Raw genomic sequence first — 15,565 nt, 5'->3', positions numbered from 1 at the left:
CTAAGTTCTAGCATCCTAAGCCATATTAACTTGCTGTATGATGCTGTGAAAGACACTCCTCTCTGGGCTTTGGTTTCCTCATCTGCAACAGGAGGAGTCTGGCTCATGATTGCTGAAGCTTCCCCTCCAGCACTAACCTTGTAGAAGTTTTGAACCATTTGGCCCCTTAACTCCATTGCCTCACCAGGCTCTCTCAGAAAAACTAAATTTCTCTTTCAGCAAAACTGCTGTGGACAGGGTCTGATAAATTCATTCCCACAGAGGCACATTCTGTCCCATGGTATTTGCATTTCCATTTGGATCCAGATGAAAGGGAATGAGACTCTCACTTAGGAATGTCTTTTGATTCAATGAGCAACAGGCTTTTTGAAGGGGCAGGGTGGAGGTGGGGAGAGGGACTCACCCCAGGCTGCCAACTAGTGAAGCAAGCCCTGGGCCAGGACTCAGCCCTCAGGTGGAGATCTTGGTGTATCTCTCCAAGCATGACCTTTTTGTACTGGCCCAGGTGTGAACCCACCATGCAGCTTCCTCTTTTTCTGGGGGCTCTGCAGGGATGCTGGCGGCCTCTCTGTCCCTGGAGAAGAGAGTTCCAGCTCAGATACCAATGAAGTCATCGAGATCCGTGGTCTGAGCTGGAATCCGGAATCTGGCAGGAGGGCCCACACGGCAGCTGTTTGTGGTTTCTCTTTTCCTCTGAAGGAAAGTCTGAGCAGATGATGGCCTAGGTGCTGCCTGTTTCCATGTGAGGGAGGAGCAGGATGTGGCTGCGGATCAGTGGAACAGGAGGGGAATTGGCAAGCAGAGTCTGAGTGATACATAGATTACTTATTTCATGAGATGAAAGATCCCAACCTCTCCCAGAGAACTTCCTCAAATCTGCTTTTGTTCTTGAGAAAACTCATTTCTTCCCTAATATTTATTCATGAGGATTTTTGTTTTCAGAGACTTCGAGGAGCAGCTGCTTTGGGTCTGGGGGAATTCATTCCACCGCAAAGACAGCTTTTCATCTTCTGTGCAGCTAGGCTCCTCATCAAGGAGCATCAGCTCCTCTGAGGGATGGGCCTCCAATTCCAGCGGGATGAGTGTGCCGTTGTGGAGGACTCCCAGCATCCCAGCTCCTGGCCCAGCATCCCTGGGGCCTGGGGACAGGGCACGGAAGGGGCAGCTTCCAGAACACAGGGAAGGTCATGTGACAGGTCAGACATACCTGCCTGAGCACCTCTTGGAGCCTTGTTGGCCAGCAAAACACTTACTGGAGGCTCCAAGAGCTGTGAGTTCCAGACTGCCATCATCTTTTCAAAGTTCGTATCTAACAGGAGAAACCAGGGACTTCTCTCACCAGAACGCAAATCCAATGGAACAAAAACTTAAGTGCCCCCGGGACAGGGCCAGGCTGGTTCAGATGTACAGAGGGAGGACAGAATTAGAAAAAGATGTGCACCGGGTGGTTTTGATTGAGAACATCAAGAATTTTAGAATATCAAAGTTGAGACAGAATTTGAGTTCTGGCTCAACCCTCCTATTTTCCAGATGCAGAAATTGTGGGAAGTGATTTGTCTAAAGTCTGCATCAAAGAGGAGAGTCACATAGACATGTTCTGACCCCAGTCCAGGGTTTTTTTCTCTACATTTGATCTCTAAATGTCTGTTTTTCTCAACATTATAGGGCTCCAAGATTCACTACCCCTATGTCTTCCCAACCAGCCCTACCTCATGCACATCCTTTTTGTGCTGAGTTTCCACTCATCCCTCCTCCTCTCTGTTCACCACTGTTGTTTTGTTTTGTTTTGGTTTGGTTTGGTTTTGAGACAGAGTCTCACTGTTGCCCAGGCTGGAGTGCAGTGGCACGATCTCCACTGACTGCAACTTCCACCTCCTGGGCTCAAGCGATCCTCGTGACTCAGCCTCCTGAGTAGCTGGGATTACAGGCACACGCCACCATGCCTGGCTATTTTTTTTTGTATTTTTAGTAGAGATGAGGTTTCACCATGTTGCCTAGGCTGGTCTGGAACTCCCAACCTCCAGTGATCCACCCACCTTGACCTCCCAAAGTGCTGGGATTACAGGCCTGAGGCACCACGGCCCAGCCCACCGCTTTTTTTAAATGTCCATCTGAGCAAACCCTGCTTTGTCACTGGCCACTGTAATGCTCACAGGGTTGTGAATGTAAAGCTCCAGCTTCCATAGAAATAAGAAACATCCTGGAAATGTTTTTGCCCAAAAAAGGGGGCACTGACCTTCTATAAGGAAAGAAGCAGGGAAAACAGGACTGAGCTTAGGTTCTTCCTGAGGCTCTAGACTGGTTTCTCTTATCGTGTGTTGTCAGCACTTCAACCTGGCATTTGGTTCTATCCTCCAGGGTTTTCACCTGGTCTTGACTGCCTGGTCATCTCTCTCCACCTCCCACTCCACTCTCATTCAAGAACTGGAGCTTCAAAAAGTGTTTGAGCACTTGGGCATATGGATTAATCCTCCTTATTCTACTCTTTTCATTGGCTTTGCTTCCCCTTCTCAAACCCTGGGCACAGCCCTGATGTCATTTTAAATTCTAAAAAAAATTGAGAATTCTTGGATAACTGCACTTGGGGGATACGAGAGATAATAGTAATTGGGATCGTAAGCATGGTAAAAGAGTGGAAGATAGACTATGAATCAAGCCCTCTGGCTAGGCTTTCCTGCTACCTTGCTGTGTGGTCTTGGGCAAAGCCTTTAATGTATCTGTGCTCCAGTGTCTTATTTTTCAGATGAGGATAATACTGCCTGATGCACTGACCTTTAAGATATATTGAAAATCAAATGGGCCGGGCATGGTAGCATGCACCTTTAGTCTCAGCTACTTGGGAAGCTGCAGCAAGAGGTCGCTTGAACCCAGAGGTTCAAGACTGCAGTGCACTATGATGACACCTGTGAATAGCCACTGCACTCCGGGCTGGACAACATAGCAAGACCTCACCACTAAAAAAAAATTAAAAATCATGTGGGAGAGCAGATTTGAACTTTTTCTTAATTGAAAAAAATAATATCGTAACATATTTTAAATCATTCTCCTTCATCAGTGTCCTCTGAGATATACTGGTAAGCAGCTATCTGCTAAGCCAAGTCTGAATTTCATCTCCTTTTATATCTTCTCTTCTGGGCAGAGGGAGCTGACAAGCAGTAATATAAGCATAATGGAGGCCGGGGGAAATAGAAGACCTATGCACTCCAGAAGGATCTGAACAATCTCATGTCCATTGTGAAGAAAAACCAAGGGAAATATCACAATAGAACAAGGTTCTGGGTTCCCTCTTCTCATCTTAATAACACTTGGTCATCTGGATGTTGTTAGGGTTGGGTTTAGATTAGGTTTAATTTATAATTATTGTCTATGTTAGGATTAGGGTTAGGGTTGGGTTCCAGTTAGGTTTAGATTTCAAATTGGGATTCAGGTTTAGGTTAGGGTTAGTTTAGAGTTAGGAATGAGAAATTAGGTTTATTTATTTATTTATTTATTTTTTGAGACGGAGTCTCGCTCTGTCACCCAGGCTGGAGTGCAGTGGCGTGGTCTCGGCTCACTGCAAGCTCCGCCTCCCAGGTTCACCCCATTCTCCTGCCTCAGCCTCCCGAGTAGCTGGGACTACAGGCGCCCGCCACAACACGCGCTAATTTTTTGTATTTTTAGTAGAGACGCGGTTTCACCTGATCCACCCGCCACAGCCTCCCAAAGTGCTGGGATTACAGGCCTGAGTCACTGCACCCGGCTTAGGTTTATTTATTTATTTACTCATTCATTCATTCATTTATTGAGACAAGGTCTTGCTCTGTTGTCCAGGCTGGAGTGTAGTGGCATGGTCATGGCTAACTGCAACCTCTGCCTCCTGGGCTCAAGCAATCTTCCCTGCTCAGCCTTCTGAGTAGCTAGAACTACGGGTGCATGCCACCATGCCAAGCTTATTTTTGTTTTCATTTTTTAAATTTTTCAGACAGGGTCTCACTCTGTCACCCAGGCTGGAGTGCAATGACGTGATCTCAGCTCACTGCAGCTTTGACCTTCCCAGCTCAAGGAATCCTCCCACCTCAATCCCACAAGTAGCTGGGACTATGGGTACACATCATCATGCCAGGCCAATTTTTGTATTTTTTTGTAGAGATGAGGTTTCACTATGTTGCCCAGCCTGGTTTCGAACTCTTGGCCTCGAGTGATCTGTCCACCTTGGCTTCCCAAAGTGCTAGATTACAGGTGTGAGCCACGTGCCTAGCCTTAGGTTTATTTATTTATTTATTTATTTAGAGACACAGTCTCACTCTGTTGCCCAGGCTGGAGTGCAATGGCATGATCTCAGCTCACTACAACCTCTGCCTCCCAGTTTTCAAGTGATTCTCATGCCACAGCCTCCTGAGTAGCTGGGATTACAGGCATGTGCCACCACACCTGGCTAATTTTTGTATTTTTAGTAGAGACGGGTTTCGCCATGTTGCCCAGGCTGGTCTCAAACCCCTGACCTCAGGTGATCCGCCCACCTTGGCCTCCTAAAGTGCTGGGATTACAGGCGTGAGCCACTGCGCCTGGCCTCCTTCGGTTTATTATTATTATTATTATTATTTTTGAGACAGAGTTTCTCTCTTGTTACCCAGGCTAGAGTGCAATGGCACAATCTTGGCTCACCGCAACCTCTGCCTCCCGGGTTCGAGCAATTCTCCTGCCTCAGCCCCCCAGGTAGCTGGGATTACAGGCATGCGCCACCACACCTGGCTAATTTTGTATTTTTAGGCCACCACACCTGGCTAATTTTGTATTTTTATTAGAGACGGGGTTTCTCCATGTTGGTCAGGCTGGTCTCAAACTCCCGACCTCAGGTGATCTGCCTGCCTCGGCCTCCCAAAGTGCTGGGATTACAGGCATGAACCACTGTGCCGGGCCTGGTTTATTCTTAAAGTTAAGGTTAATAGTATTAGTTTATTTTAGAATTAAGGTGAAAGTTGAGACAGCATTTCTAAAGTTGGCAATATGGACATTTGGGGCTGAATAATTCTGTTTTGAGGGTGCTGTTCTGTGTATCCTAAACATTTTAGAATGTTTAGCAGTATTCCTGGCCTCTACCCATTAGATTCCTCTTTTTTTTTTTTTTTTTTCTTAAGGCTAGTCAAGCGAAGCAGTGGGAGTGGAGAAGGAACAAAGAAATCTGTAACTGGTTGTGATCAGTTAGTTGTAAACACCACTGCACTTGGACCAGCCTACGGATTAGATTCTAGTATTTCCCCTCTGCATTGTAGGACCCCAAAATATCTCTAGTCATTGCCAAATATTCCCTGAGAAGAAGAGGGGTAATCACCCCTGACTGAGTTAAAATAAGGATTAGGGTTAATGTTAAGATTGTTTTTAGAGTGAGGATTAGGATCTGGGATCAGGTTATGTTTACATTTTGAGTTGGGTTCAAGTTTAGATTAGGATTAGAGTTAGGGTTTGGAAACGATTTAGATTTAGGGTTAGGAGTGAGGCTAAGGCTCAGGTTCAGGTTCAGGTTCAGGCTAGGTCTAGAGCTTGCACTTTGGTTAGGTTTAGGTTAGCACCTTGCAGAGACAAATGTATTTCAAAAATATTACACAATGAATTTCAAGTCTGAGTACAAACAATTGTAGGGCTGCCAAGCCACTATTTCTCTCCATTAGCCCTACTGGGAAGTGGCTGTCATAGCACACTGCTAGGAAATATACCCACACAGGGGGCTGCCCATCGAACCTTGCTGAGTCTGGGGAAGGTGACTTCATAGTGGCCTTCAGGACTAAGGAAGGTGATAATTTGCGGTTGTTCCTTATCTATACTCTGTGTGACATGCAGACTTCCGGAAACTGGCCTGTGTGTGCTCGCACGCATGTGCATACATACTCTTTGTGCAGAGTGATGATTTACATCTTATTTCATATCCCTATTTGCACACGGTGGCCACAAAGGTCCTTATGCTTACTGTTAAGAAACCAGTGCAGCTGGGCAGGGTGGCTCATGCCTGTAATCCCAGCACTTTGGGAGACTGAGGCAGGCAGATTACTTGAGGTCAGGGGTTTGAGACCAGCCTGGGTCAACATGGCGAAACCCCGTTTCCACTAAAAATACAAAAAAAAAAAATTAGCTGGGCATGGTGGTGGGTGCCTGTAATCCCACCTACTCGGGAGACTGAGGCAGAGAATTGCTTGAACCCAGGAGGTGGGGGCTGCAGTGAGTCAAGATCACACCACTGCACTCCAGCCTGGGTGACCGAGTGTGACCCTGTCTCCAAAAAACAAAACAAAACAAAACAAAACAAAAAAGCAGTGCCTATGTGAGGGCTCTCCTTCTGTCAAGTTGCGCAGGTATGAGGAAAGGGTTCCTAGCAACAGTAAGGTGACCCAAAGGCCCCAGCAATGGGAGGATCTTGGAGCTGGACACCATGACACCAATTTATTCTCATCTTCATTGTCCTACTGTGTGTAAAATCACAGACAAGTTCATCTCTCTGTCTCAGTGCTCTCATTTGTAAAATAACCAGAATAAACCTTACCTGAAATCTTACCTGGAAGTTCCATCAGGGATAAAGTTTATTTCAACAAGCTCTTGGAATGTTTGGGAAGGAAGATGCTGCATCAACCCAAAATATTTTTATTGTTTCTTGTTTCCAGAAGGAAAGGGTGTACAGAGCTTCCTCCAGCACAGCACCCATCTGCCCATGTCAGAGAATACAGGAGGAATGGTGGTGCCAGAGGCAGATGCAACAGAGAGGGAGCCATGCTTCACTAGCTTGTCAACATGTCATTAGGGTGTTCCTGTGGGAACCAAGAGCAGAGGCAGGAGGCAGGAGCCGTGGGAGGGAGGGAGGAGGGAGGAAGAGAGAGAAATGGAAGAGATGAAGGGGTCCATGCCAGTACCACATTCATCCCTGTCATGAGGAGAGCTCTATCAAACCAAGGCCAGGCCTATAAATCAGGCCATAATTAGTTGCAAAGAGAAAGCTTTAACATCCCCATCAAATTGATTAATACATCTTGCAGCACAGGACAGGCTGGCCCTGCCTTGGAAAAACTGCAGGCTCACCCAGCAAGGTGGGAATGGAGTGGGGAGAAAGGATAGCTCTAGCCCTGGCAGCACGAAGTGAGGTGAGTCCTGCCCCTCTGTTTACTCCCTTGAAGAAGGCTCTGACAGGTGGCAGTGAGACTGGCTCTTAGTCCAGGAGGTCCTCATGGGCCTGAAGCCTGGAGAATCAAAGGAATATGTTAGTTTTGCCAGGAAATAGCCCCGATACTGTTGGCAAGTTATTTTTCCCGCCTCTGGGTCTCAGCTTTATCATCTGTAAAAGGGCTATGTTGGACCAGAGGAACTTTAAGTTTGTTTCCAGTTCTGACATCACAAATGACTGAGCCTAATGGACAAGGATTTTTGAAGGTCATGGCTAGCGAAGACCTCACTTTGGGTTTAATTTCTAGGACATCCAATGAGAAGTCAGGAGTTTGGGACAAACTTAAATAAATTATTCTTACTTCAGGCTTGAGATTACCAAGCATTACCTATGTGTCCATTCCTGAGGCCTGAGCAGCAGATACCCCTCGTCCTTCAAGGCAGCACTGAGAGGGAAGATAGCAGATTAACTTGGATTCATGACCTGGCTTACCCACTTACTAGCTCTCTGTTTGGGAAAAGTTACCTAACCTCTTCAGCTTCCTCCTCTGCAAGATAGGTGTAATAATGCCTACCTTGCTGGATCATTAGGAGGAATAAATAAGATATAAATAAAGTGTCCAGCTCAGGGCCTGGCTTACAGTAGGTGGTCACCAAGTAATAACCAGTATTATCTTTGTGGACATGACTCTTGACGTCTTCACAATGACATCCAAATTACATGGAAACTGAAAAAGTAAAGTCCAGTGAAAAAGTAAAGTCCTTACTCCATTTGAGATGTCCAACTAGTCACCCTCCCAGGATAAAAAAAAAAAATCAATATGTAGCATTTTTATTTGGTAAAAAGCACTGGACTGAAACTAGGAAGACTTGGGTTCAGATCTCACCTTTGCTATTTATGAATTGTGTGATTTTGTGCAAGACCTTTCATCTCTCTACGTCTAGCTGTCCCTAATGAGGAATGTTTTCAACATCCAATCAAACAATATGTACAAATGATCCTTGTAAACTATAAAGTATTATTAAAAATATAAATCATTTCATAAGCAATGTTCTGGGTATCCATCACCCTTGTCTGCTGCTGAATGCCCCTGAACTCCCCTGTCTGGAAGGACAAACAAAACAGTCTCTTTTCAAGCCCCTGGGACATGTTCCATTACTCGAAGGGATCCTATGTCCTTATGTCCTCTATGGATCATACTTTCCCTGTTTCCACTTTAACAAAAACTCTGACCTAATTGCTCATAATAACTGAAGAGCCTCTACTTGGTGGTATCTGGGTCACATCTAGGTTGATGTAATGACACTATCCAAAAACCTATTCTTTCCTTCTTCTACAATAATTGAACTACTCGGCCTATGGCTGCATACACACACACACACACACACACACACACACATATATATACACACATATATGTAGACACATACATATATATATATTTCCCAGCCACCTTACAGTTAGGGCTGATCATGTGACTAAGCTCCTGATCATGGAATGTAGGCAGAAGTGATGTGGACCACCTATGGGCTGGGACCTTAAGAAAGGTGCCTCGGCTGGGCACGTTGGCTCACGCCTGTAATCCCAGAACTTTGAGGCCGAGGCTGGCGGATCATGAGATCAGGAGATCAAGACCATGCTGGCTAACACGGTGAAACCCCATCTCTATTAAAAATACAAAAAATTAGCCAGGTGTGGTGGCGGGTACCTGTAGTCCCAGCTACTCAGGAGGCTGAGGCAGGAGAATGGCGTGAACCCGGGAAGCGGAGGTTGCAGTGAGCCGAGATCGTGGCACTGCACTCCAGCCTGGGTGACAGAGTGAGGTTCTGTCTGAAAAAAAAAAAGAAAAGAAAAAGAAAAAAAAGAAAAAAGAAAGGTGCCTCATCCATATTTTTTATTCTTCTTGAGACCTAGAACATGAGTGTACCCACAATCTAGCTTGGATCATGCAGACAAAGGCTATACCTGACTGGGTGTTGTCCTGTAATCCCAGCATTTTGGGAGTCCAAGGTGGGAAGATCAATTAAGCCCAAGAGTTTGAGATTAGTCTTGGCAGCATAGCAAGAGCTTGCCACTATTTATTTTTTTAAAGAAAAAGGTGGAGGGGGTGCCGCTGGGCACAGTGGGCTCATACCTGTAATCCCAGAGCTTTGGGAGGCTGGGGCAGGAGGATCACCGGTGGCCAGGAGTTTGAGACCAGTCTGGGTAACCTAATAAGAACAAAAATTAGCTGGGCAAGGTGGTGTGCCCTTGTAGTCTCAGCTACTTGGGAGGCTGAGGCAGGAGGATCACTTGAACCCCGGAGTTCAAGGCTGCAATGAGCTATGATCATGCACTGTACTCCAGCCTGGGCAACAGAGTGAAAAACCTGTCCCAGAAAAAAAAAAAAAAAAGGCTACAGGCTAGGGAATGGTGGAAAAGCAAGATAGAAGGAACCTGGGCCCCTGCATGACTGCATGAAGCAGAGCCGCTTGCTAAAAAATAAACTTCTGTCTTGAACCATTGAATTTTGAGACATCTTTATCAGATAAGCTTAATCTTTCATTCTAACTATTTGCAAGAGTCCAGAAGTTTTCTGACTAATTCTACTACCTCTAAGTCATAGTGCCAATCCATACCAAATGTGTAAGATGTTCTCCATTTAATTTTTTTTTTTTTTTGAGACAGAGTCTCTCTCTATCACTCAGGCTGGAGAACAGTGGTGCAGTTACAACTCACTGAGGCCTCGCTTCCCAGGGCCAAGTGATCCTCCCACCTCAACCTCCCAAGTAGCTGGGACTACAGGTGCGCACCACCATTCCCAGCTAATTTTTTTCTACCTTTGGTAGAGATGAGGTCTGATATTGGTTAATGCTGAAATGAGTTAAGATTTGGGGGACTGTTGATAAAGCATGATTGGTTTTGAAATGTGAGGACATGAGATTTGGAGGGGCCAGGGGCAGAATGATATGGTTTGGCTGTGTCCCCACTGAAATCTCAACTTGAGTTGTATCTCCCAGAATTCCCACATGTTGTGGGAGGGACCCAGGGGGAGGTAATTGAATCATGGGGATTGGTCTTTCCCGTGCTATTCTCGTGATAGTGAATAAGTCTCACGATATCCGATGGGTTTATCAGGGGTTTCTGCTTTTGCTTCTTCCTCATTTTCTTTTGCCTCTGCCATGTAAGAAGAGCCTTTCGCCTCTTGCCATGATTCTGAGGCCTCTCCAGCCATGTGGAACTGTTAAGTCCAATTAAACCTCTTTTTCTTCCCAGTCACGGGTATGTCTTTATCAGCAGCGTGAAAACGGACTAATATAGGGTCTTGCTATGTTGTCTAGGCTGAAGACTCCCCAGTTTTAAAGACATTTTAGGAGATCTCTCTGCTCCTGTTTTCTTGAAGGCTGGGCCTACAGCTAGCTCAGAATCAGTAATAATTTTATTACAAAGCTCTATAATAATAATAATAATAATAATTATTATTATTATTGAGAATGAGTCTCACTCTGTTGCCCAGCCTGGAGTGCAATGGCATGATCTCGGCTCACTGCAACCTCCGCCTCCTGGGTTCAAGTGATTCTCCTGCCTCAGTCTCCCCAGTAGCTGGGATTACAGGTGCCCACCACCATGCCCAACTAATTTTTGTATTTTTAGTAGAGACAGGGCATCACCATGTTGGCCAGGCTGGTCTCAAACTCCTGACCTCAAGTGATCTTCCTGCCTCACCCTCCCAAAGTGCTGGGATTACAGGCGTGAGCCACTGCGCCTGGCCTCTATTAATATATACTCAAAACTATCTCATAAAAATGTTTAATTTTCTTCCTCCTTGTACCATCATATTATGATAAATCTTACTCTATTCCTGGAAGGCAGCTGCAACTGGAATGGGTGGGAAGATGGGACAGAAATTAAGACAACTGCAGATAAGGAGGATGCCTGGGGGGACCCACAGGAATCTGAACTTCAACCCTGGCTCAGGAAACAGGGCAGGAAGGCTCAGGGAATACAGACCTGGAGAAAAGGACTAGAGATGCTCAAATGACTCATCATGTGCCTCAGGAAGAGGAATTTTGAAAGTATGGACACTGAGTCTTATGTTTCTAATCTCCAAGAAAACGTGATGCTTTCTAGCTGGCCCACTTCCTCATCAGTTAAGATTTTCACAGAGCCTCTGACATTTAGAAAGCCTATCTCCTGACACCCACCTTTTGGAATGTGGTCCTGGGCAGACTCAGAATTGCTGTTTAAAATGTTTAATTGAGCAGATGGTTTGGAATGTGAGGACTGAATACCCCCTTTTGAAAGCCAAGAGCTACGGGAGTCTATCAGGCATGGGATGGGGGAAGAGGAGAAAACGAAGGAAAGACATCATTCCAAATAGCCACAGGTGGGAAGCCAGAGTGGGGAGGAGGGGTGGCCTCACTTTGTCACACCACTGACCTGAATCACAGGGCAGGGCCGGAAGGGAATGCCAGTTGCAAATCTTGCCACCTCATCTCACAGCTCACCAAATATTACGGCTTCACACATAAAAACCAGAGTGCTAAGCTGCCAGGAGTGTTAAACTCAAGTAGCTGTGACCAGAAGCAGGCAGGCTCTGGGGACAGGAGTGGGGAGGCTGTCACAGCAGGGCCAGCAGCTCCCATTGGACCCTCCCAGCTCTTAGGTAGCAACTGGAACTGAGCAGGAAATGTAGCTGTTGCCCTGAGAGCCACCTCTGCTGCTCGCCTCTCCATGGTGACAGCATTTAGGGGAGTCCTGCACCTCCTTAGCAGGAGCTGGGCTGCCTCTGAGCAGAAAATAAATGCTTTCAAGCCCCATAAATCAATGAAAATTAGCGGGAGTCAAGGTAAAAATCCATCCTCCACCACTTGGATGTTTGAGCCAAGGTTCTTCTCGGTGATTTAGAGCCATGTAATTAGAGTGATCCACTCTCAGTTGCTGTTGTTGTTTTTTCTTCCTCCCTTCTCTTTCCAGACAAAGTCCTCTCCTATGAGGCAGGTTCCCACTGGCCTCTAGCTCCTCTGGCTAGAAACAGGTGTGTGCACCTGTCAGCTTGGCACCTTGATGGATCTCTGTGCTATCTTGGTTCGCCTCCTCCCTGCCTGCCCCTAATGAACAGTCCGCCCCAGGCTAGGTATGAGATGTGGGTGGGGAGACACACCATCCTTCATAGTCGCCCTCTATCCTCCGCAGAAGTAGAGAGGTGTGGCTGTTAATCCTCAGGTGAAATGTGGCCCCATCCCAGAGGTGGAGGAGGGGGCTGGAGTAAAGAGAGCCTCTGACCTCTGAACTGGGGAGAAGATTGATAGTGGCATGAAGGTTTCCCAGCCTTGCGACCCCTGCCGGATTAGGAACATAATCCAGCAGTTGACAGACATGTGAGGTGGGATTCAGAGGAGTTAGTTGCCTGGATTTACATTTTAAAAAGGCCCCAAGGCCCAGAGGGACAACATGACATGAGGAAATGCAGATAGAATTTAGAGTCCCAGAGACAAAGATTCAAATCCCATCTCCATCATTTCTTATCCGTATGACCATGAACAAATTTCATCAGCTCTTTGAGCCTCAGTTTCCACAATTTAATTTTACTTAAAATTAAAATATTGATGCTATCTCACACAGAATTCTAGTGAAGATTAGATGAAGTAATCAATGTAAAGTTCTAGCATATAATGCCTGGAACATAGCATTTTTTCCCAACGCGCTACCTTTCTGCCTCTCAAATCTTCTCCTTGCTCGAGGCTGTACAACAAGCTAGGAAAGGAATTACAACCCTAACCCAGCTCCTGACATCTTGCTCAGGAAGTGACCTATGTGGGGCTCTCAATCTAGATGCTCACTGAATGGCAGAGAAAACAAAATTAGTAGTTTCCTTCAGGAGGCCAACTAGAACATGCCGCCTCTGAAGAGTGAGGAAGCACGACCAGCATGCTGTGAGGTACCTTGCCAGGTTCAATTCCTGCCTCAGTCTTTTTTTTTTTTTTTTTTTTTTTTTTTGAGACAGGGTCTCTTATGCTTTGTCACCCAGGCTGGAGTGCGGTGGTGTGACCATGGCTCACCACAGCCTCAACCTCTCAGGCTCAAGTGATCCACCCACCTTAGCCTCCCAAGTAGCTGGGAGAAACACCCCCAGCTAATTTTAAAAATATTTTGTTGAGACAAGATCTCACTATGTTCCCCGGGCTGGTCTTGAACTCCTGGGCTCAAGAGATCCTCCTGCCTCAGCCTCTCAAAGTGCTGGAATTACAGGCATGAGTCACCACGCTCAGCCCCTCAGCCACTTTTAAGTTATGACCCTGAGCAATTCCCTAAGCTTCGGTATCTCCCAATGTAAAGTGGTTATAATTGTAATTCTTGCCACAGGGTGGCTCTGAGATTCAAAGGAAATAGTGAATGGGAATACCCTTTGCAAATGATTCCGTATGTATAATAAAGTAACAACTTTACTAACAGAATTTCTCTTAGGAAGGGAATTCTGCTTAGAAGAATGCCTTGATGTGCTTAACACATGGCAGATGTGCTCACAACTTCAGAGAAGGGAGAATATTGCTCTGCATGAGAGAGAGAAGAGAAAAAAGAGGAGGAGGAGCAAGGCACCAACGGGATGGAGAGAGGCCAGGTGTGGAGAAGGGAGAAGTGAAACTCCATACCGTTGGATTGACAAATGGGTGTTTAACAACAATGATGCCCATTGTGCCCCTTCAAGTTGTCTGTGCTGCATAATGTAAGCTCTCTCTTTCTCCCCTACAAAATCTTTGAGTATATCTATTAAACTCACAATTTTTAGAACATCAATCACAAAATCTGGTGATTTACACATATTCTTTCATTTATTTCCCCTATAACTTTTCACAGATGAAGATACAGGCTCAGAAAATATGGACAACTTGCTCAAGGTCACACAAGTGACAGCTGTTGGAGGAGGGCTCTGGATACTGTAGTGCGTTGCCCTTCTGGGCCTCAGTTTTTGAGGTTAAAAAGGTCACTTAACCTCCATGGGTCCCCAGTTTTTCTATATTTAAGAAGTATCTTGGCTGGGCACAGTGGCTGACTCCCGTAATCCCAGCATTTTGGGAGGCTGAAGCAGGTGGATTGCTTGATGCCAGGGGTTCGAGACCAGCCTGGCCAACATGGCAAAACCCCATCTCTATACAAAAATTAGCCGGGCATGGTGGCGTGCGCCTGTAGTCCCAGCTACTCGGGAGGCTAAGGCAGGAGAATTGCCTGAACCCAGGAGACAGAGGGTGCAGTGAGCCAAGATTGTGCCACTGCACTCCAGCCTAGGTGACAGAGCGAGACTCTGTCACAAAAAAAACACAAAAATCTTTATTGCTTCTTTCCTTGGTCACTCAGATACTTGATAGATGAAAGAGGTCATAGATGTAAAGTACTTTCAGAGATTTTAAACAAACAACTGTGAAAGAAAGCTATTTATTAATATAATACACATCTCCCCATGCTAAAAGGTCTACTTAATCCATCCTGTCCTAAGAAGCCAAAGAGAACTAACCTTCACTCCTGTTTAGAGAGAACAGTTTAGTTTGTCCTTTCTAGTCCAGTGCCAAGTCTATTGCACTTTGCTTTCTCACAATAGAAACCAAGCATATGGATCTCCCTTAAAACCACACAAGTCCAAATAACATGATCATCTCAAAGGATTCCCTTTCTCCTGGAAAATATTTAACAAACAGCTTTCCAGAAAAAAAGTTAAGTCCTGATTTGTTGCATTCGTCTATTTCCTTGGTGTAAATAATTCCACCATGCCTGATTTCAACTTTCTTCATGACATCATTGAAAACAGGATTAGGAAGAGATGTGCAGTTATAGTGTTTCTACCACCTAGGTACACCAGACATAAATAACCCTAAAAGGTTAGATAGCAATGAAATTTAGCAAAATAATTAGGAAGTGATGATATTTAGTATCTTTTTTTCTTTTAATATAATTTGGGCCACGTATAGGCACGGTGGCTCACACCTATAATCCCAGTACTTTGGGAGGCTGAGGCGGGAGGATCATTTGAGGTCAGGAGTTCAAGACCAGCCTGGCCAACATGGCAAAACTCCGTCTCTAATAAAAATACAAAAATTAGCCAGGCATTTTGTCACACACCTGTAATCTCAGCTACTTGGGAGGCTGAGGCATGAGAATCGCTTGAACCTGGGAGGTTCAAGGGTGACAGAATGAGACTCAGTCTCAAAAAAACCTATATATATATGTGTGTGTGTGTGTGTGTGCATAAATATATATGTTTGTATATATATACATATAATTTATTGTAACTTTATACCATTTTAGTTTGTTTTCTTTTCTTTTTTTTTGAGACGGAGTTTTGCTCTTATTGCCCAGGCTGGAGTGCAATGGTGTGATCTCAGCTCACTGCAACCTCTGCTTCCTGGGTTCAAGAAACTCTCCTGCCTCAGCCTCCTGAGTAGCTGGGATTATAGGCACCCACCA

General features: G+C 45.5%; 2 annotated features.

The window, feature by feature from the left end:
• Positions 1 to 1,200: an enhancer, noted in NCBI's record as "CDK7 strongly-dependent group 2 enhancer chr17:46560473-46561672 (GRCh37/hg19 assembly coordinates)". NCBI's record gives its function as "activates an origin of replication core promoter dependent on BRD2, BRD4, P300/CBP, MED14 and CDK7 cofactors, with strong dependence on CDK7, by STARR-seq in HCT116 cells {active_cell/tissue: HCT116}" and the evidence as "EXISTENCE:reporter gene assay evidence [ECO:0000049][PMID:35650434]".
• Positions 5,574 to 5,643: an enhancer, noted in NCBI's record as "active region_12331". NCBI's record gives its function as "activates an Ori minimal core promoter by ATAC-STARR-seq in GM12878 lymphoblastoid cells {active_cell/tissue: GM12878}" and the evidence as "EXISTENCE:reporter gene assay evidence [ECO:0000049][PMID:35858748]".

The sequence above is a fragment of the Homo sapiens genome, chromosome 17, assembly GCF_000001405.40.
Source record: "Homo sapiens chromosome 17, GRCh38.p14 Primary Assembly".
NCBI lineage: Eukaryota > Metazoa > Chordata > Mammalia > Primates > Hominidae > Homo > Homo sapiens.
This window is presented reverse-complemented; position numbering and strand designations above follow the sequence as displayed.